Here is a 23,167-nt window from a genome sequence, read left to right on the forward strand (position 1 = left end):
TACATTAGTTTGCTGAAGATAGTAGCCTCCAGCACTATCTATGTTCCTGCAAAAGACATGATCTTGTTGATTTTTATGGCAATGTAGTATTTCGTGGTTTACATATACCAAATTTTCTTTATCCAATCTGTCATTGATGGGCATTTAGGTGTAGCCCGTGTATTTGCTATTGTGAGTAGTGCTGCAGTGAACATTTGCATGCATGTGTTGTTATGGTAGAATGATTTATATTCTTCTGGGTTTATATCCAGTAATGGGATTGCTGGGTCAAATGGTAGTTATGCTTTTAGCTTTTGAGGAATCATCATATTGCTTTCCAGAATAGTTGAACTAATGTACACTCCCACCGATAGTTTATAATTGTTCCCTTTTCTCTGCCACCTTGCCAGCATCTGTTGTTTTTTGACATTTTAATATTAATAATAGCCATTTGACTGGTGAGATGATATCTCATTGTGGTTTTTGATTTGCATTTCTCTGATGATCAGTGATATTGAGCTTTTTTTGTATAGGCTTGTTGGCTGCATATATGTCTTCTTTTGAAAAGTATCTCTTCATGTTCTTTGCCCACTTTTTAATGGAGTTGTTTGGTTTTGTCTTGTAAATTTGTTTAGCTCCTTATAGATGCTCGATATTAGACCTTTGTCAGATGCATAGTTTGCAAATATTTTTCTCCCATTCTGTAGGTTGCCTGTTTACTCTGTTGATAGTTTCTTTTGCTGTGCAGAAGTGCTTAAGTTTAATTAGATCCCAGTTGTCCATTGTTCCCTTTGTTGTGATTGCTTTTGATGACTTTGTCATGAAATCTTTGCCCTTTCCTATGTGCAGCATAGTACTGCCTAGGTTGTCTTCCAGGGTTTTTATAGTTCTGGGTTTTACACTTGTCTTTAATCCATCTTGAGTTGGTTTTTGTATATGGTGTAAGGAAGGGGTCCAGCTTCAATCTTTTTTTTTTTTTCTTTTCTGAGATGGTGTCTCGCTCCGTCACCAGGTTGGAATGCAGTGGCATGATCTTGGCTCACTGCAACCTCCGACTCCCTGGTTCAAGTGATTCTTCTGCCTCAGTCCCCCGAGTAGCTGGGATTACAGGCATGTGCCACCATGCCCAGCTAATTTTCGTATTTTTAGTAGAGACGATGTTTTACCATGTTGGCCAGGATGGTCTCAAACTCCTGACCTCGTGATCCGCCCGCCTTGGCCTCCCAAAGTGCTAGGATTGCAGGCGTGAGCCACCGCGCCCAGCCCAGCTTCAGTCTTCTTTAATGCCTATCAGAGAGTGAAAAGGTAGAGTCAAAGATGACTACTGGTTTTTGTTTTTGTTTTTTCTTTAAAAATTCCATATTAGTTCTTATTATGCTTATTCTTCTTTCACTTCATTGAACATATGGAAAATAGTTATTACAGCTTTTACTGTCCTTGTGTACTAATTTTGTCACCTGTGCCATTTCTGGACCTGTTTCTATTGGTTGTTTTTTCTCCTCACTATGGGTCATATTTTCCTGCTTCTTTGTATGCCTGGCAATTTTTTATTGAATGCCAGACATTATAAAATTTTCCTTGTTGGGTACTGGGTATTTCTGGTTTCTATAAACATTACTCATTTTGGGATACAATTTTGTTATTTGGAGATGTGTGTGTGTGTGTGTGTGTGTGTGTGTGTGTGTGTGTGTTTTTAATGTTTGCTTTTGTACTTTCTTGGACAAGACCAGAACAACCTTTAGTCTAAAGATAATTTTTCCCCCATTCTGACTGAGTACTTTGCCTAATGCCTAACGTCTTACAAGGTTTTTCCACTGTAGATTGTGGGAAAACAAACTATTCCCTGCCTTGTGTGGGCTTTGTAAGTTCTTCCTCCTCCTTCCCAGTGGTGGTTTTCCTCGCCTTGGGTATTTTCTCTCACAGATGTGCTGACTAGTCATCAGGTAGAAACTAGAGGGGAACCTTCTGCAGCTTTCATGATTCTCGCTTTCTGTGATGCTGTCTCCTCCTTATCCTCTGCCTTGGAGTTCCAGCTGTCTTTGCCTCCCCTTATTCTCAACTGTGTCTTCAAGACTCAGGGATTCCACCTGGGTCACCTCCTACCCGGCAATCATGTGGCATGAAAACTCTCCAGGCAGTAAGGTGGGAAAATTTTAAGGGTCACCCTACTTTTTTCTCTTCTCTCAAATATTATTGTCCTTTACTCTGTCTTACCCAATTTCTAAAAACTCCTGTTTCATACCTTTTGTCCAGTTTTTTAGTTGCTTGAGGTGGGAGAATACATTCAGTCCCTATTAGTCCATCATGCCCCTGACTCGTTTTTCAGCTAAGATGAAAATTTCTGTCAGCCTTTCACCCATTTTAGTGATATTTTTAGGAGCTTTGGCAGTTGAGACTTACTCTCAAGTGAGGCTAATCAAAATAGTATATTATTCTAGCTTTGTTTTTTTGAATTGGTTAGGCCAAAAGAATAAGAATAAAGAATTCCAGTGTAGCTGTATAATTTGACTCATGCGTAAAGCTTAAAAACACCAAATATGTGGCCAGGCATGGTGGCTCACGCCTGCAATCCCAGCACTTTTGGAGGCCGAGGCAGGCAGATCACTTGAGGTCAGGAGTTGGAGATCAGCCTGGCCAACATGGTGAAACCCCGTCTCTACTAAAACTACAAATAAATTAGCTGGACGTGGTGGAGCACAGGTACTCGGGAGGCTGAGGCAGGAGAATAGCTTGAACTTGGGAGGCAGAGGTTGCAGTGAGCCGAGATTGTGCCACTGCACTCCAGCCTGGGTGACAGAGTGAGACTCTGTCTTAAAAAAAAGAAGAAAAACCCAAATATGCTTTGCTTTTCTAAATTATATATTCCCAGACCATGTTGCCTGGGGGGAATAATTGGCCACAAGGACTTTCAGATTGTCCACATCAAGGAGACATAGTAACTTGTTTAGATTAGTCACTAGGGAAGAGTTAAGGGGAATAATTGAATATATAGTTAATAAATGTTTATGATGAGTTATTCACAGGGAAAATATTGCTTCCAACTTAAACAGAATTTTGTAACTGAGGAAATTTGTCAAAAGTTAGGAGCAAAACTTACTTAAAAACTTTTAATAAACAAGCCTCAAATTATGAAATGTTAATGGGCATTTATTATAAACAGGCCAAGATTTAATAGAAGTTCTGCTATTTATTGTGTGTGACCTTAGGCAAAGAATGTGACCTTTCTTCCCCGCCAAGATGGAGTCTTGCTGTGTCGCCCAGGCTGGAGTGGAATGGAGTGGAGTGCAATGGTGCGATCTCGGCTCACTGCAACCTCCACCTCCTGGGTTCAAGCAATTCTCCTGCCTCAGCCTCCCAAGTAGCTGAGATTACAGGCATACACCACCACGCCTGGCTAATTTTTGAATTTTTAGTAGAGATGGGGTTTTACCATGTTGGCCAGGCTGCTCTCGAACTCCTGACCTCAGGCAATCCACCCTCCTCGGACTTCCAAAGTGCTGGATTACAGGCATAAGACACTGCGCCTGGCCTTGTTCGCACTTTCAAATCTTCCTACCTTTGCTTATTCTTTTTATTTATTTAAAATGAATTGCAGTGGCATGATCACAGCTCACTGCAACCTTGACCTCCTGGGTTCAAACTTTTCTTGTGCCCCGGCCTCCTGAGTAGCTGGGATTATACACAAGTGCTACCATGCTTGGCTAATTTTTGTATTTTTAGTAGAAATGGGGTTTCGCCATGTTGGCCAGGCTGGTCTCGAGCTCCTGGCCTCAGGTAATCCACCCTCCTCAGCCCCCTCCCAAAGCCCTGGGATTATACACATGAGCCTCCACGCTTGGCCTATTTTATTTCTGTTCTTTTTTCTTTCTTTGTTTTTCTTTTCCTTATGTCAGCTTCAACCTCACTTCTACCAAACACTTCCCAACACACTGTGGAAGTAAACTTCTTTAATGCTTTATTTAATGACTATATGAATATGACTCTTTTCACCTTTCTCTCTGAAAGAATTTTGGGTTGGGTTGTTAGTTATGAGAAGACAGAAAAATATTTAACACCTTTCAAGGGTTCAGATCGTTCAAGGAATTGAAACATCTCAGAAAATAATGAAAATGGATCAAAGTCTTATGAGTCTAATGCTACACAGTTGTCTACTCTTATTATTCTGGTAGCTATTTACAGTTGAGACATTTTTTCTGCTTCCTTTTGAGATACCCCTTCTCCTACTTCAAATCTTCCCTGGTCTTTGGGTTTTTATTGATTTGTCTATCCCACAGTGCCACTGTTCATCCACCCATGCCAGCATCTGTCCTATTCTTTCTTTCTTCCTCCCTTCCTTCTCTCCCTCCCTCCCTCCCTCTCTTGAAATCTTTATTGAGGTTTTATTCCATGCCAGGTTGTTTGACCAGCTACTGTTAAGGAGGAAACAGACTTGAGCCACTACCATGAATGAGCTTCCCACATTGTTATAATTAGATTAGGAAATCTAATCTCGACCTGACAAGGATTCTTGGTGTTTTATTCCTCTCTTTTTAAAAAAATCTGTGCCACATTTTCCTTTTCCTTAACAGTTTGCTTATGCCTTTTTCCATTCCTGTCCCATACATTTATGAATTCTCCTGGATATGTCAGTATTTCAGTTGCCAAGAAATGTCAATCAAATTTCTTTTATTCATCAGGTATAGTCTGGGCATTTGAGGTTGAGTGGAGAACAAGATGAAACCTCTGCCCTCATGAAGTTTCCATTCTAGTGGGAGAGACAAATCTATTAAGAAATAGCTACAATTTTTTCTAATAGAATGTTTTCTGACATAAACAATATGAAGGGCGGGAGTTTGTTGCTACTTTAACTAGTGTGATTAGATAAGGCCTTTCTGTGTAGGTGACATTAAAACTGAGGCCTAAGTAAAGAAAAGAAGGTAGACAGGTGAAGGTCTATGGGAAGAACATTCTGGGCAACAGGAACAACAAGCTTAGAGGCCCTATCAGAAGCATGTTGTGTTCGAGGGAAAGAAAAATGGCTTGTGTGGCTACAGTAGAGTGAAGTAGCACAGTGGCTGAACACGTAACTTCTAGCCCATGCTAAGGAGGCTGGGTGTTGTATTAATTTCCTGGGCTGCTTTAATGAATGACCACAAACTGTATGGCTGGAAACAACAGAAATCTATTATCTCACAGTTCTGGAGGCTAGAAATTTAACATCAGTGTGTCTTCAGGGCTATGTACCCTCTGCAGGCTCTAGGGAAGAATCCTTTTTTTCTCCTGGCCTCTGGTGCCTCCCAGTGATCCTTGGTGTTCCTGGCTTATAGATGCATCATTCCAGTCTCTTCTTTAGTTTTCACATGGTTTCTACAGCAGCCATTGGATTTACAGCCCATCCTAAATCTGTATGACCTTAATTAGGTACATCTAAAAAGACCGTATATCCAAATTATGTCATTGTATTAGACTTCTCCACAGAAACAGAACCACAGCAGAAGATAACAGAACCAGCAGAACATGATTTATTATGAGAAATTGGCTCAGTTTTGGAGGCTGACAAGTCCCAAGATCTACAATCAGCAAGCTAGAGACCCAAGAGAACCTATAGTATAACTCTAGTCTCAAGGCTGGCAGGTTTGAAACTCTTGAAGAGCTGATGTTTTTATTGTGTCTGAAAGCACAATAAAGAACTGATGTCCCAGGTCAAAGCCAGGCAAAAGGAATTCTCTCTTCTCTGGGAGAGAGTCAGCCTTTTGTTCTTTTCAGACCTTCAACTGATTGGATAAGTCTCACCCATTTTAGGGAGGACAATCCAGTTTACTCAGCATATCAATATAAATGTTCAACTCATCTAAAAACATCATCACAGAAACACCCAGAATCATGTTTGACCAAATATCTGGGCACCCCGTGGCCCAGTGAAGTTGCAACATAAAATTGACCACCACAATCACACTCTGGGGTTCCTGGTAGACATAAACAGGGGGACATTGCTCAATCCATGACAGGTTATTATCTTAAAAGCCACTGGACTATGTTAAAAGGATTGGAGTTGTAGTTCTTACTTTAAAATGTTTATTTTGCCTTTGATATGAGGAACTGTCCATGAAGACAAGAGCAAGAATGAAATCAGAGGTAGAAGCCAGAAGGCTGAGATGAGAGTTGGTGACAACCTGACGTGGGCATAACAGAAGGTTGAATAATTGGTGTTGGAAGTGACGTAGCATTTTTCCCACCTGATGCTTTTATCAAGTTGTTGCTCCATTTTTACTTGATTTCTTCCAACAACTATATGCTTATTTCTCAATCAAATATATATATATATATTGTGTGTGTGTGTGTGTGTGTGTGTGTGTTTGGTCGGCTATTAGTAATCTTATCTCCAAGGTACGTTTCTTTGGATTAAGATTTCAGGTTTTTAAAACACTACTGGAAGATCTGTGAATGAGCTTGTTTTGTGACCTTTGCAAGAAATTTACTTGTTCATGTGATTCCTGGCATGGTCCTTCTCCTTTTTACTCCCAAGAGAGAAAAGCATAACATGAAGGTGGGTAGCCAGGAATGTTGAACACAATTAGCGATTTGGAAGAATTTAAAAATATTCAATTTAAATTAGCCCTAGGGTCAGAACACACATTCTCACCTAGGGGTGGAGTACACATGTGTCCTGTCTGTACTCAGGGAGCTGTAACAGTAGCCATGGCCTCTCTGTGTGGATTTATAATGAATGGAGCACATCTATTTTAGATGGATAATCAATTTTGAAATCCCTTATTGTAAGTATGCTGTTAAAACAGAAATGTTAACTTCATGAGTTTAATGAGTAGCTTCGATGATAGCTTAGTGAAGAGATGGAAGGAAAGGCAAGTGGGGGGAAATGAGAAAAGGAGAACAAGTGTTTAATGAATATCTACTTGCAGACTTGAATGTCAGCAGCAACATTCTCCCTCCTGGAAAATGTCTTTCAACTGTGCATCCCATTATGTTCCTGCAGCCCGTGGTAGCATGAAGATTGAGACAAAGAGAGTGTTTCTAAGAAAGCTCTCCTTTACAATATAATGAGATGGAGGTGGGTAGTTTGCAGAGATTGCTGGAGCAGTGGTCAAATATGAAAAAAAAAAATCCAGCAGAATGAAAAGACCATGTTAACCAGGAGATGGCTTATAATGAGCCCAGAAATTGCATATCAGATAGCCAGCTGGCTAGCATTTCCTCATATCCCTGTGTTCTCATGCAAACTGCTAAAATGTTCTCCTACTCTATTTTCTCAGCCTCTTAATAGTTCTCATTTCTACCTACTGCATTGAAAATATGAATGAAATGGCAACTCTACCACTTGAAGAAATAAGAATGAAGCCCTTTTCAGCAAAAGTATTTGCCTAAACATGGATGGATATTATTTCAAATGCTTTTGAAACCAAGGAAACTTCTGTTTCTTTCCTTAAAAAAACATCTTAACTTTCAAGTCTCAGTTTGACTCACAGCCTTTTCAGTATTCTGTGGCCTCTTTTGCTATATAGTTTGGACAGACTTTGCTTGAAGTCTCCAAGCAAAAAAATGGAAGTCCTCCCTTCTTATTGGAAATTGATAGGGGAGGCTTGGCACGGCGCCTCATGCCTGTAATCCCAACACTTGGGAAGCCGACACAAGAGGATCACTTGAAGCCAGGAGTTTGAGACCAGCCTGGGCAACATAGTGAGATGCTATCTCTAGGAAAAAAAAAATAGCTGGGCACAGTATCGCATGCCTGTAGTCCAGCTACTCAGGAGGCTGAGGCAGGAGGATCACTTGAGCCCAGGAGCTTGAGGTTGCAGTGAGTCATGATCTTGATCATTAAGGAAGAGTCTTGTGAAATTGTTCAATAGTTAGGGTATTATCACCTGTCTACTTTCATGGTTCTTTACCTTTTGGTGACTGTCTCTTCTTTGGTGACTGTGTCTTCTAAAATGAGAAAGCAGTACCAATCCCTAAATATACATCTGTCAATAACTTACAGCACATTTGAAACAATATTACTGCTGTTTCTAAACATTCCTTTTTTTTGTTTTTAGCATGATCTGTTGTTGCCTGTGTTCATATAATTTCTGTCTTGGAAAATTATTGAAGCTACCAAATATTTGCAGCTGTATTTAGATATAGACTTTAGATTATAAATATATGACAGAGACTCTTTACTGGGCCTTTTGGATGCGAGACCTCAGGGATATATGATACGTGTTGTGAGCCTCAGCTAAAGTCTGACTTCCCTGTGGCTGGTAACTTCTGTTACCAATACTTTAATGGTGGGGTCCTGTTGGTGACCAGGCGTAATATCTCACTGAATACAAGGCCGTAGTCAGAATCTTGGGGTTGTAGGACTAGACAAGCAGAAGTCTCTTTATTTAATAGATGTCACTCCTGTTAAAATTCTCCAGCTATGACTGAAGGGAGTTGGCAAGTAGCCAAGAAAAATGTGGTGAAAAGGGTTTAAGAGGGGAGGAAATGTCAATGCCATGGACATTTGGCAAAGTCGATCACAAGAGGGTTTTTCTACACATGTGTTTTCTGCTGATCCTGAAATCAAAACTGAATACCATGCATCTTTTCCCTTAAAAAAAAAAAAAAAAAAAAAAAAGAGTACAGTAGGTTGGCACATGTGAATGGCTCCTGATACGAGACTCTGTATGCTTTCTAGCAAATGCTGAAACAAATTCCAGTGGACCTTTAATGTATATGGGGATCTTGTGTCTGTGTTCCCTCGTGTGTCTGTGTTTGTGTGTGCCCGTGTCTAGGGGAGGGGAGTTATAAGGCAGGGTGCTTAAATGCTTTGTTACATTATGTTAATTCCTCGGCAGTGCAATCAAATTCATGTCGTAATTAAAGCTGTCAGTTGGAAGGCAAGCCAATCGCCATGAAAACACAGCATAACAAATGAAGTGAAATGATTCTGCGTGTAGCTATACAATGCTTCGCCAGGCATGAAATTAAATAAGTAATTTGATGTTGACATCAGAAATTGAAATGATACCCACTGTTCCCTCATTCAGTCAGACCTGCATAAACAATAGCCAGAACAAATATGCACAACAAAGCCCTCTTCTCCACCCAGCTCCCTGAGTAATGTACAATATATATGCAAAACGAGCATAACAGAGCTTTCCGAGACCTGAAGGATGTAATTTTCTTTGGTATACGATAAGATGATATGTATGTGGGGGTAGGGAAGTGGGTTTGGTGGGAGTACTTCTCTTTCTGGGATAAAATACATTTGCAGGAAGGGAAAGAAATGAAATAAACAAATCCCATGGTCTCTCTGAGTAATTCATCCTAAAATGAGTTCACTTCCCAGGGGCATGACTCCAAGCTGGTGGAGACCTAACTTGGCTTTTGCTTTCTTCTGCTGCTGCATGGAGGGCTGTGGGTGCTGGAAACAGGTGATGCTGTCATATGGCTAGTCACTGGTATGAGAAGTTGTCTCCATGACTACTGTGGATCTCCCTCCATACCATTTATGGGATTAAGAATGCAGCAGGATTTTAAAAAACTGAGTGCAGTGAGCAGGATCACACATCTATGGTGCTTCATTCCCCTGAGCTTGTGTGAAACGCTGAGATGAGGAAAGTTTTGCTTTGGGAGCTGCATTTAGGAATGCCTTGAAGCATACTGTTCTTGTTTGATGTAGATATAGTTACAGTACCATGTTTCCTCCTCAAAGAGCTTAGCATCAAGAAGAGTCACCATCTGCTGTATTTTTATAGATGTCAAATTCTCCTGAGCCATTTTTCTTACACATAATCCATCCATTCATTTATTTATACATTCATTCAATAAGTCCTTATTAAATGCATCCTGTGTGCAAGTCATTGTGTGAAGCTCTAAGAAGCAATGATGAAAAAGCCAGCTGGTTACTGCTGTCTGAAGTTTCCAGAGTAGGGGGCAGGACATGTAGGCAGAAGAGCTAGCAGTGAACAGAGTAACTGTTGCATCAGGGCAGAGGTCATTTTGCTTCTGGGAAAGTATAATACCCAACCCAAGCTCATCAGGGAAGAAGCCTGGCTGGTGCAGGGATGCTTAGCTGAGACCTGCAGACCTATTCAGCATTTGCTTCACCTTCATTTCAAGCTTAATCACAAAGAGGAAGAGGATGCTAAAAATTAAATAATTTATAAAGAGAGGTTTTAGGAGAAAAAAAGAAACAAAAATCAGAATCTCAGGCAAGTTTAAAATACATTTTTTGGGGGGGCTTCTTTTCCCAAACAAGTGATGCCCTGCATTCCTTTCAGAATTAACATTTTTAAATTCCCTGTGTGTCAGAACTATGACAGCCTAAACTGGTAATTCTTGTGACTTAAACCCTTCAGAAAAATGGTGCTTTTCACTGCTCCTCTTGGCCCACACATTCTCTGCATTTTAGTCTACTAATTACGTTTACAAAATGTCTCATTTTTGAAAAGCCCTGTGTGTGTACTAACTGATGCCTTTAGGGAATAAACTGGCAAGTAGGTCATACACTGGAAAAGTCATCCAAACCCACTGGGCTTTTTATTTTCAAGTCAATCTGGGCTTTTTCCTCTTGCCTGCCCCTTTGCGGCCACAAAACTGAGTAGCTTGAGACCAGGGCATTGAATGTCAGCAAGTCAGGGAGGCAAGCTGATGCGTGTCTGTTTAGTCTCAGTGCAGGGCGAAATGCCATCATTAATTCATTACCCAGCTGCCTGTCAAATAAATTGGCAATTACATCCACCGCAGAAGCTTGGAATTCAGTAAATAGCACGTTAGCATCTCTGAGTTGTTGAGAGATGTAAAGGGGAAAATTAAGCAACACGGTGTTTGTATCAGTAGCAGATGACAAGGGGCAGCATACACTGGTGATGTGATGTGGTGATGAAAAGCCTGCAAAGGGCTGGTAATGAGCTGTGTGGATTGGAACGTGTTAAAAACCATTGCTGATTTTCCACTTTTGTCTTTATGCTTTATTGCAGAGTTCAGCTCCTTCCAGCTTGGGAACAGGCTACTTCGTAAGTCTATCTCAACTTCCACATATGTGCCTTGCATTGGCATTGATTTCCTTCTATAATGAATGCTCATTGGGATATGAAAAAAAATCTGAGAATTTCTCTCTCAGTCCTAAAGAGCAGACTGATTTCCATTCTTTATTAGGAATTGTTTTATTTTTAGAAGACATAGCCTGCTGGGCCCTAGGGATCTTAAGTAAGTCCGAGGTATATACCTGGTTCCTAACGCCCAGGACATTAAGCTCCTTACCTGGCCATGTAAGGAGATACAGGGAACCCTGATTAGCTCATGCCACCATTTCTCCACAATTACTTTTTTAGTAAGAAGTGTCATGTGGGGGATGGAATTCAGATTATGCATTGAGATAACTGATTTCTTGAATAACATCTCTTCATATACAATGAGTTGCCTTTTTTGGTGGGGAGGACGGGGAATGGAGATGGTATTTTTTAATGAATGTTTTCCCTCACAGTCTGGGTAGTTTGCCTTTAGGTTTTTCTTTCAGCAATAATTAATATACTTATTTTTGCTAAAATGCAAAGTTTATTTCTGAACCTTATTCTCTGTCCTTTGGGAAAGATGGCAGTGAGGTGACCCTTCAGGGATTATCACAATATTGTGATAATCATGAATATAAAATTCATTCTCAAACAGCAGTTGTCACTTCATTATATTTATTTATAGTGAAATTCTCCTTTCTGGATTTAGTGACCCTTTTCAAGATACAAATGAAAAAGAGTGACAAATAAGCATTATTTGTACAATAGGATAACATGTCAATGTAAAAGTCTGTTGTGATGCTTAAAGGAATCTGATTGGTGTTCTGAGTGATGAACACTGATACAGTCATGCCTCAGTATTTTCTGAGAAAATAGTGAAATCATGAAAATCAAATAAAGTGGAAAATAATTACTAATTCACTTTAGTTGCTTTTAACTTTTCTCTCCAATGCTAATTACTCTGGTTTTCTTCTGCCCACGTATTTCTCTCGATACATTTACATTAAATTTATGGAAACCAGCATCATTTCATTAATAAATGAGTATTTTCCAAGCTTAGCAAAAGTGGCATTTTCTAGATGTTGACTTTTTTTTGGTCTTAATCTGTAATAGGAGAAAAAGTATAAGGATGATTTGGACCTGCTTAATACAGTTAGCACACTTACCCTTGCTCCTACTTATTGTGGCTGAATATTCATGCTAACAGAAACAAGCAGGATACATTCAGTATCCTGCTTCAGCAGTCGAAATAACAGACGTAGCCCCATCTGGCATCTCTTCACACCAGGCTGGATGTAGGTTGAGATGCTGGAAGTAAAATCTGGAGACTGCGATATCTATTCTCCATCCAAAAGCTAAAGCCTCCCCCTTTGCTTTCTTCAGCAGAAAGAAGGCCAAAGCCACTACCTTAGTCCTTGATCACTTCTGTACTGAACATTCTAGTATTTTTTTTTTATTGTCAGTAGGATCACCCTGAAAGAAGAAAGTCATTTCTAGAAACATTGAGATTTTCATTATGCTTTTTGCAGTTATTTTTCTCTCTAGTTCCAAGAATGGTTATTTTTATTCTCTAATAATATATTCTTATGATTTAAAGAGTCTTTAATTACATGTCTATTAATAAAATGGCTTTTACAGAACATTGGATGAGTATAAAAGTTTTCTCTTATTTTGGTAAAATTGCTGGTAGACTTACTTTGCTTACATAAAAGTCTGTCGTATTATTAGCTTACATGGAGAAGATACATACCAGATGTGTATTCAGCTTTCAACTGTGACAAAAATGCCCTGCTAGGATGTGTTTCCAATAATGTGATTGTTATGTTATCAGAGTGCAAAATCCATTGATATTGTTGCCCAGTCCTCATGAAAAGTATCTTCTATTTCAACTTTCTTTCCAATAGTATCACATGTAATAATTTCAGATACTAACTTCCACACTGGTGAGTTTCATACTTCTAAGTGGAAATGATATGGGCACAACTTACATTAGTTCTTTGCCAACATATTATTTACACTGTGCTTTGTGATTTGTGCTGTCATAATAGCTTTTTACTTAAGCCTGTAAAGAAGGCTCAGCTTCAGGTAAGTGAAATGGTAATTTTTCAAGTCTATCCTTACTCCTCTTCAGCATGTCTTTGAAATGTGGATGGAGGGAAATCACCTGCAGAGTCCATGAGCTATTAGCGCAATTGAACCATAACATGAATTCTGGTGTAAGAAAGCTGAAGGCACTTTTAACAATCTAGAACCGTTTTCTTGAACACTGTCCCAAGCCCCAACTTCACAGACTTCCTTTGTTTCTATTTAGAGCTTTTGTCAACAGAGGTAAGATGCTGTTCATTGTGTTTGTTAATAAAATAGACACCTGAGTATATACATGTGCAGGTGTGTGTGCATGCACACACACGCATACACACCCTTAGCCAAAACCAGTATATTTTACTTTCAGTTCTTTTATCTGTAGTGATACATTCAAGGGTTTAAAGGAGAAGCCTTTGTTTTTGATCTGGTTGTATTTGTTTATATCTCCTTGGTTTTGTGTTCCAAAGATGTCTGCTTAGGTCTGTCACTTTTCCAATCCGTTTAGAAGCAGAAGATTTGAGAAATGAGAACAGCAGCTCAAATCAGTATTTACATAAGCATATTGCAAAGAATTCTTAAAGTAGACAAAATAGAGAAGGATTGGAACAAACTTTCTACATTTTTGGGAGCTTTTGAATAATGTGGGTGTTATACACACAGAGAGACACACATATATATTCATTACATACTCATGCCCAGCTCATATTCTAAATATAAATGAAAGTATAGACTAGTTGGAATCGATTTGCTTTTTTTTTTTCTTTTTTGGCAAGAGGACTAAAACTTGTTAGAGTGTGTGTAGGATTTTCTTTTTTTTTTTTGTTTTGAACGTCAATGCAATGAACACATTTTCTTTTCAATTTAAACGTTTTAGGCTGTATTTTCTCCTTAAACATGTATTTGAGGTTTCAATTTGCATAGTGTATAATTAAGAACTTAGAGGCAGAATGATCTTTTAAGACTACCTGTATGACCTTGGTCCGGTTATTTTATGTCTCTGAGTCTATTTCCTTATCAATACCTACCTATTAGTGTTGCAAATATTAAATGAGATAAGATATTTTAATGAACACAGAATATCACTCTATACTACCAAATAATAAGTACTGCCTTCTGTTATTCACACAATCGTGTGTGATGGAGCAAAGTTGGTCTCATCAGGTGGCTGTGCAATGTTGTGCAAAGTAGGTTTTATAATTTGTACCTGTAGGATAGTAGTATTTTATTCTTATTATATTCTTCTTGTAGCTTTCTCAGGAGCACAGCTTTTGTATTTGATCAGTTATTTACATTTTTTCTGTATGTGAACATAAAACAGGGTATTCATCCTCTGTGATTCTATATGAACATGACGATGTTGGAATGAACTGTTCTATTAGCTGTCCACATATTATGGTTGTTCTCTGTAATTTGTCAGTTAAAGTTACTTGTGTATTTTCTTCCTCAGAAGCATTTGAAGTACTTGGAGCTTTTAAAGACTGCTTAGCAGCTTTTAGGATTGGGCTGAGAGGGAAGGTACACCTGTTCAATATATTCCACTTTTATGAACTTGTATCACATTTGCTCCTTTCTGACAAGAAAAAGAAAAATTGATGCCCTAGCATATATGAACACAGTAACTGAAATCAGTAGAATGAAAAGACCAGTGAGAACATTTCGTGTTGGCCAGTGGTCTGGTATGTCATCACAGGAAAGATCTGGACTCATTCTTTATAGCACTTGACTCCATGTGGAGTTGGGAGCTACTTTTGGGGCAACTAACCAGCCAGGCAGAACTTGATTCCTGCTGTAAGGGAAGTACAGCCTTACTTTTTTCCAAGTGACATGTTCTGCCTTCTCTGGATAATTTTCAGCCCTCTTCCAGGTTTGAATCTAACTGTCTTAGAACCACAGCCTCAAATAGCTTGTATCCTGCTTTTGTAAACTCCATAATTTCTCTTAAGGATTCTCAACTAATAATTTTCATCTTCCTCAATTGGGTCACATCTAGTAATTGACATACTTTAAAGTTATCAGGGAAAACAACTCACTTCTACTCAGTGATTAAAACTGCCGCATTATATAGTAAAGGGGAATTGTGTAGTGGTATACATCTTCAGACGGGATTTGTATAATTATTGTTTTCCTGTGCAGTTGAATTACTTAAGTTGTGTAGGTAGTGCTGGTAACAGGCAGTAGGTGCAAAATATTGACCTGTAGCTTTCCATCCAGGGTTATAAAGGTCATAGTGGGAATATTCTTTGCCCCTTTCTAAGTTTTTGACTATAAACCCTTGAAATATCTCCTGTTTTCCTTTGCTATAATTTTGTATAACTTCTTCTTTTTTCTTTTTGACAGGGTCTCACTGTGTCACCCAGGCCATAGTGCAGTGGTGTAGTCACAGCTCACTGCAGCCTCAGCCTTTCTGGGCTCGGGTGATCCTCCCACCTCAGCCTTCCCAGTATCTGGGAGTAAATGTGCATGCCACCACACCTGCCTAATTTTTGTATTTTTTGTAGAGATGGGGCTCTACCGTGTTGCCAAGGCTGGTCTTGAACTCCTGGGCTCAAGCTATCTACCCACCTTGGCCTCCCAAAGTGCTAAGATTACAGGCGTGAGCCACCATGCCTGGCTGTATAACTTCTAAAACTGATTTGGTATTCTGTCTAACCATAGTTGCTTTTTAACCATTTTCCCATTTCCCCAGATAATACTCACCAGTGGTGCTTGCGGCTGCAACATTTATCTTGATGTAACTGCCAGAAAATATCTTGCTTTTATTATTTTCCCATTGCTCTAGTATATTGACTTTGGAAACAAAAGACGTCATTCTACTCATAGCATTCTATTTTCAGTAGTGGTATTTCCATTTATAAAATATAGTAATTTTTATAAATGCCACCATGCCCAGCCACTTTTAAATATTTCTGACACATTGTATTCATTTATTTTCTGGGGGTGAATTCTTTTATTAGAACATTCAAATTAATAATTTTGTTTGGTTTGCAAGAAAACTGATGCCATCAAGGAAGATGAAAAGTTACTACACAAATTTCAACAAAGATTTCTATAATTTATAAATGAGGGCTGGGCACGGTGGCTCATGCCTATAATCCAGCATTTTGGGAGACTGAGGCGGGTGGATCACTTGAGGTCAGGAGTTCGAGACCAGCCTGGCCAACATGGTGAAACCCCGTCTCTCTACCAAAAATGCCAAAATTAACTGGGCGTGGTGGCATGCACCTGTAATCCCAGCTGCTCGGGAGGCTGAGGCAGGAGAATCACTTGAACCTGGGAGGCAGAGGTTGCAGTGAGACAGGATGGCGCCATTGCACTCCAGCCTGGGTGACAAGAGCGAGATCTCAAAAAAAATTTATAAATGAGGTTGAAAATTCATTTTTTAATTTAATAATCCCAGTCTCAGATGCCCTTTCATTCTTTGAATTTGCATATCTCTATAATATTTCTCTTTCAAAATTTTCTGGTTGTCTTATATATAATACCTTGTATAAGCTGATCTAGCAGTGGCTAGATAGGATCAGATTCAGGTTTGGATTTTGGCAAGGATGCCTCATAGATCATGTTGTGTGCTTCAATTAGGAGCCACATATTTAGTTCTTTATTTTTATTAATGTTAACAGCCATTGATTAGACCCAGTGTTCGTTAGGAGCTGCAAAATGGTGATATTGCAGTTCCATCATTCTGTAAAGAGAAACATCTACATTAACTACAGGTATTTGGTTATCCTGAGGTACAGTTAACACACTGTATTTGAATAAGAGGGTTTGAGCTCTCCAGAGAACCTATCACTATTTATAAGATTTCTTAGGGGTTTTAGTTTCAGAAGTACAGATACATCAACTTGGTGCTGACGGCAGCTCCATCCAAAGCAGAAGAAACTGTCTTCTTCCCCACTTGGCAGTACTTGCTGTGATGCTAGGAAAGGATTTTGTAATTCAAGTGTTCATTCATCACCTGTTAAGTACTTATATTTAAGATAAATAACATTAAGTATTTTAACACTTCCCCCCAAATAAAGACCCTAATCTTTGTATTTATTAGTAATTAACACTAGGTAAATTAATTTTTGGCCATTATATATTGACAAAAATCTATTATAATGGAAATATTTTTGAAAATCTAAATTTTATCTAGAAATCCATGAAGGATATCCAGTTATTATTAGGGCATTTGGACTAATTGATAAGGAGTTGAGTTGGAAAACTACTCTCCAGATGGAGATTTCAATTCATTTTAACTCACAAGTATGACTTAAATATCTACTCTTAGTTCTTAAGTTGCATAACGTGTAAGCATGGCTCTCAAGTCAAAGATATGTAGCTGAATTTGAAGCAAAGCAAACTGATTGGTCTATGAGAAGTGTAAGTAGAGCACTTGGAAGTATAAAGGAGGGTCAGTTAAATGTAGCAGGCTTAAATTGTGCAGAGCTTGATGGATGTTTAGATAGTCAACAGGAAAGAAAGGGTGGAACAAGTTTGAGGCAGGGGGAGCAACAAAGACAAGAATACAGAGAAATTGCATAATAGTGTGGATTGAATTGACTGTATGATGTCTCTGGAGAAAGACGGGACTTAGATTGTCAGGGAATGTTGGTTGATTACAGGGAATGTGGGATAAAGCCAGGGAGGTAGTCGGGTGAGTGGGGAAGAGATGGTTTGTAGAGAAGGACGTCAAGTAAAGGATCAATGACTACAATACTCTTACTTGGAGTTAGTCCCCAGAAGAGGAGATTTGAATGTAGGAAAATGGTGAGTTTGGAAGTTAGAATACGTAGTTAGAAATTTAAGTGTGTATTTAAGTGTAACTTAAAATCTAGGACATTACCAATGCCTTTGAAGCTACCTGTGTACTGTGCAGAAACATCTGGGCAAACGAAAGTTGTTGCTCTCCCTTATGGTGAAACATTGTCACATTTTTTAAATGTAACCTTCAAAATACTACCCTTAACTGTGTTTTTTCCTCCTAGTAACAAAACCAGAATCTAAGGTGCATTCTGACAGACTCCTCCACGTGGCGCAGATAAACTCTCTAATTTCAAGGGCCTTAGACAGAAAATATAATTGTATTTCCCATGTCTAATTCTTACCCTTTTTTGGTCATGTTTTTGATCTGTTAACATTTTAATTGAGGGAATAGGATCAGTGAGCCAGGAGCAGACACACCTTGACTAAATGAACAGTACAAGTTAAACTGTGGTGAGAGACATTTAAACATTTGTAGAATCTCTACAACAGGATGACTTTTCCAGCACACTCTGTAGAAATTATCTTCTGCCTACACACTATGTTTAACTTCAGCTTCCTCATTCAGTACAAGGGAACTGAGAAATTTGACAAAAAATAATCAGGTGAGAAAAGATCAATTGGTGTTTCCAGTTGCAACCAATAATTTTAACCCTTTCATTTTCTCAACATTTAAATGAGGGAATAGGCTGGGTATTTTTAAACATTTGCTGTCTACAGGAATCTTTGACATTGCTGTTGCAAACTCTTTAAGGAGATAAGCGGAAAACTTAGGTGCTACTGATGGATGTGGGGAAATAGCCCTCAGCCGTTATCTCTCTGTCCTCCTAACCCCCATCTCTGGCCCCTCAGATTTAGAGGGAAAAAATGATTTTGGAGAACAAAGATTTAATGAGCCACTAGGCAAGAGAGTGGCTAAAGGACCTTAATTTCTAATATTTCAAAATTTATGATTCCAGCTGCCTTACAACTAGATGTCTGCCATGTGCAACCATTGCTTGTTGCTGGCCTCACTGCCTTTCTTTGCTGTCCTTTGAGCCACAGGAATGCAAGGCCATAGTGCTGCTTAGTGAACACTGTTCTTCACTGTCAACATTGAAAGGAGTCCTGATTTCAACGGAGTGGCCGAGTCTGCTTTTGTTTGAAAGTAATGTATTTTAAAATTCATTATGAACAATAATGCAATTATTCATAATGAATAATGTTTTATATTTGCATCATTCATTTAGGGCTAGTACATAGAGATACTGAAGCTGTTGGCTTAGCCTGTTCCATAGCTAGTAGATTGATCATAGAGATGAAGCGGTAAAGGCTTTAGCACAGTGCATTGACAGTCCCAGAGGGAATGGACAGGTCATTGCCATGGAATTCTGAAAATAATTTTATCTTCATTTTCATCTTTTTTTCTGACATTGGCTTTAAGGAAGGTTGTCTTATCCTTGTTGGAGATTTCCACATTACAGAAATTTGTTGCATTTGTTGATACAAGCTATGTAAAATGACCCACAGGCAATGTCAATTCCGGAGGTTTACTCTGATTACCCACACAACCCTTATTTTGATAGATTTAACTAGCCTGGAGTTTTATTGACTATCACTCAGAATCTTTCAGATCAGAGAACTCACTCCTTTGCTTAACTACTTAAAAAATATTTTTGCTGAAATTGTAAATTAGATGCCTCCCAATCCATTGCATAAGAAACTTATAGCTTGGTGAAACACCAAGAGTATCATTTGAAAAAGAGGTTAAAAAACACAACTGGGGCTTGTTAAAGAGGAAAAGTGGTATTTTAACTCCAAGTGTCACATTTTCCTATAGTCAGCTCTAGCAGTAAACAAGAGTTATTGGAGGCTTAGATAGTTTGAGACACTTCACTTATCTCCCAGTACTTGACTTCAGAAGCCAAACATTTAAAATGTGTTTTGCTCAGGTAAAAATGTTTATCCATTTAAAATACAATGTCATTTTAACAAAAGCACCCTGGTGACAAGCTGTTTAGATATAGCACAGTTGATAAACTGTCAGATCCTGTACACATACACTTGAAAGGACCAGCGCAGTAACACAAGGATTGGCATTATAAATCACTGTTAACAAACCTTAATTTGCTTAGTAGGCTAATGAATGATCTCCAATTTTTCTTCAGTAATTAGCTTCGCTAACAGCCATGTCAAAGGGACCTTCCTTATACTGTATTTAATCTCTGCTCTGAAATCTTTGGTGTCTAGTTTGCAGGATGAATAAAAACAAACAAAAAACATTTCGGTCTCCATTGGCGACTCCCTGGTAATAAATCCAGATGTAGGGATTGTGGCTGTTTTCAAGTAGAAACATTGCCAAAGGTGATGACTGTCTATTAGGGCTTGTAAACTGTAATATAATCACAGATTTGGAATGGAGTGGTGAAGCCAGATAATTGCAGTGTTTCCTGTCTAAATGTGCTGCTGTGCGTAGTGGCCTCTGATTTTAAGGAGCTGTTAAAAATGCAGCAAGGCATAACAGCTGTGGTTCCTAGAATACTCCTAATATTTCATATGTTCATCACATCTCATAAAATCTTGCCCAGACCAACAAATGACTACTTATCTGTACAGCTGGACTGTCTTAGAAGGAAATTAGAGAAAGTGTGAATCATGTAGGTTAGCATTACAGAGACCCACCAAGAGCTCATCCAAGCCCGTGCTGTGCCATATTTCTCTTACTGCTCCTCAGAGTTCTCCCTTTCCATTTTTAGTCCCCAAAGAGAACATTTGCCTCTTACCATTTGTGAGCAGATCTTATCAATAACTTACTTTTTCCTACCTTTGTGGAAAATAGACTCAACTTTGCCAAGAGAACTTAGGGTTCTGGGGCAGAGAAATTCAGGCGAAGTTAATATCTCAACCCAAAATCAAAAAGAGACAACAAATTTAGTTCTCTTAGAATTTTTTAAAATTAATTTTTAAAATAACTTTGCAATAGAACTAGCTCTGTGATATGAAAACCTGGTTTTTCTGGGAGGAACATTAGTACTAGGACATTCTGGGAAGCAAAGGAAGCTAGTGAACCCAAAATGTTCTTTTAATCAGATATTAAACAGCTAAGCATCATGACCAAATGGAAGCCTTAAACTGCATTTGTACAGAGGCATAATAGAGTCACAAGTTGTTTTCGCCTAATTGTTTCTAAATTGCCCACTTTACTAATTTGATAATTACAGTAGACCTATTATTTTGGTTTTACATAGGTCCAGAGTTACAGAACCTCTAGGTCAGAAGGGACTTCAGAAATCACCTTACCCAATCACCAATCTGAGACATGACTCAAAAAGTTATGTATTATTAGAGTAGGCTGACAATTTGGACTGTGACCTTGCTCATCCTGGATCCTGTCCTTCAGTTGTTATAGTTGAAAGTCACATTAATTTTTCTGCCATGCCACAGTGTTTTCTTGATGTCAGTGACTGTTTTCATATGTGATACTGTTACATCTTTTTTATCAAAAAGTCTAATGGATTCTGTCTTAAGAACGAGCCTTTATTGAAAAATCTCTGTTGAAGTTTGTCATGGTATACTTAGTATACTTGGCTTATTACTTTAACTTATGTAGATTCTGTCATGTCATATATTGTTGTTGCTTTTAGTTCCACACTGGTGAAGATCATCAAGTGCTACAACTGTCTTTGTGGCAGTTAAATTTCAGTGCTACTAGATTTTACTCATTGCTCTTCTTGTAATGCCCCACGATTTGATTTACGCTGGCTGAGTATTACAAGTCCTATGTATTTCTTTCCATTGGTGATTCTTATCTGGAGCTTTAACAGAAATCAGACATTGTTCCTCTGTTTTGGTTATTTATAGATACATCTGGAAAGAGTTTTGAGACAACCTGTGGGCATACTTAACATACTGTACCTTTTTTCTTTGTAGCCATCGTGTACAACTGCTTTAAAAAAATTAGCTGGACATGGAGAAGTGTGGAAACCATTGTTCTGTTACACAATGGCAAAATAATTGACCATTAAAATATACCTGTGATAGACTTAGTTGTGATGTGGATGCATTCATGGTAAGCCTCTCTGAGTTATTCTAATGTATGTGAACAAGCAGTATTATGTAAAAATAGAGGAAAGGATATGCTATAAAAGAAATACAGTTTGATACAGTATTTATGTTTTAACAGATATGCTTGAGTACTTTAAATAGATAAATGAAAAAACTTTCTATTATTTGTAGTAGGTCTATGTTATACACAGTAGTGTCCTGAGAAATTCTTGAGTTGTGACATACATATAAATTTTGAATACAGAAGGGATAAGTTCATTTTAGAAATTACTGCAAATTTTGAATTGGTAGAGCCATCAAATTTGTAAAGCTTGGGTCACATTTACTTCTGTGCATTGAGTGTCATTACATTCTGTTTTCTTTAATTTTCAAACAAAGGGTTGTACCACGCTTCTCTTTGAAGAGGCCTTTTGGTTTCAGCACATCTATGGGTACGTTGTTAACACTGTCATACCTCCAGTTAAGGAATGGTACACGTTTAGAGACTGCTTTTTCAAGTCAAGGTGCCAATTATTTCCTGCCTAAGCACTATTTTAGTGAACTCACTTTAGTCTAAAATCACTTGTTATTTATCTCAGAATGTTATTAAACAAGGATAAAATCAATGCAAAGCCAGCGATTTATGTAAATCTTATAAAAGTTTGATTTTCTTTAGATTTTTGTGACTAACAGCCTCTCAGTCTTCCTTGGACAGGGGAGTGGTTAGAGTTTGGGTTCCCTAATTCTCTCATCTTACAGCCTAAGCTAAGCCTCAATGGTTGATACTGAAGTTTTGTGACCCTCGTTCAATGTTCAGAATCTATTATTTTAGTACTTTTAGTGGGGAAAAAAAATTCTGCTTTACTTCTTTTCCTGCTGTGATGTGTACATTGTGTTATTTTTCTACTGGGTGTGATTTTTGTTATCTTTTTCAGCTTCATTGACCATAATTTTACTTATTTTAATTAACATGGATCTTATTAACAGTTTTCTCTCCTGTACGTTTGTGTTTGTGACATACTCTTCACTACATACTTGAATTAAGTAATTTTATTATTTTTCATCTTTCAGCAGTATGCTTATTCTTGGTTCATTTACTGTTTTGAAGCAATGGAATTACTTACATATTTTTATTTTTCCTTTTCTCTCATCTTCTGTTTTCCAACCTCTACCTCCATTTGGTCCTATAACATGATAAAAGTGCAAACATGAGCCTGAATAATAAAGGATTGCTTCACTGATTGCTAAACATATATTATAGTGCTTTAAAACTCATTTCAGGTCATCGTGGTGGCAATTAGTTTGATTACAAGCATTTAAGCTGTCACATAGAAAGCCTTCCACTTCCTAGGGCTTAGTTTCAA

The 23,167-nt window shown here is 38.3% G+C and overlaps 1 protein-coding gene across 26 annotated transcripts in view, besides 2 other annotated features; it reads left to right on the forward strand.

The window, feature by feature from the left end:
• AUTS2 (activator of transcription and developmental regulator AUTS2) overlaps positions 1-23,167 on the forward strand; it is a 1,195,032-nt gene that overhangs the window by 525,142 nt on the left and 646,723 nt on the right. For all 26 annotated transcript variants that reach the window (XM_011516010.3, XM_011516013.3, XM_011516014.3 and 23 more), the window contains one exon: positions 10,920-10,955. In XM_011516010.3, the coding sequence (XP_011514312.1) occupies positions 10,920-10,955 (36 nt within the window). The remainder of the gene's footprint in view (positions 1-10,919; positions 10,956-23,167) is intronic.
• Positions 8,377-9,661: an enhancer, noted in NCBI's record as "VISTA enhancer hs1425". NCBI's record gives its function as "enhancer in: midbrain (mesencephalon)[4/6]" and the evidence as "EXISTENCE:transgenic organism evidence [ECO:0001131][PMID:17130149]".
• Positions 15,512-15,713: a silencer, noted in NCBI's record as "fragment chr7:69604114-69604315 (GRCh37/hg19 assembly coordinates)". NCBI's record gives its function as "represses an EF-1alpha promoter that drives an FKBP-Casp9 reporter gene in an ReSE screen in phorbol 12-myristate 13-acetate-treated (for megakaryocytic differentiation) K562 erythroleukemia cells {active_cell/tissue: K562(+PMA)}" and the evidence as "EXISTENCE:reporter gene assay evidence [ECO:0000049][PMID:32094911]".

This window comes from Homo sapiens, chromosome 7 (assembly GCF_000001405.40).
Source record: "Homo sapiens chromosome 7, GRCh38.p14 Primary Assembly".
Classification (NCBI taxonomy): Eukaryota; Metazoa; Chordata; class Mammalia; order Primates; family Hominidae; genus Homo; species Homo sapiens.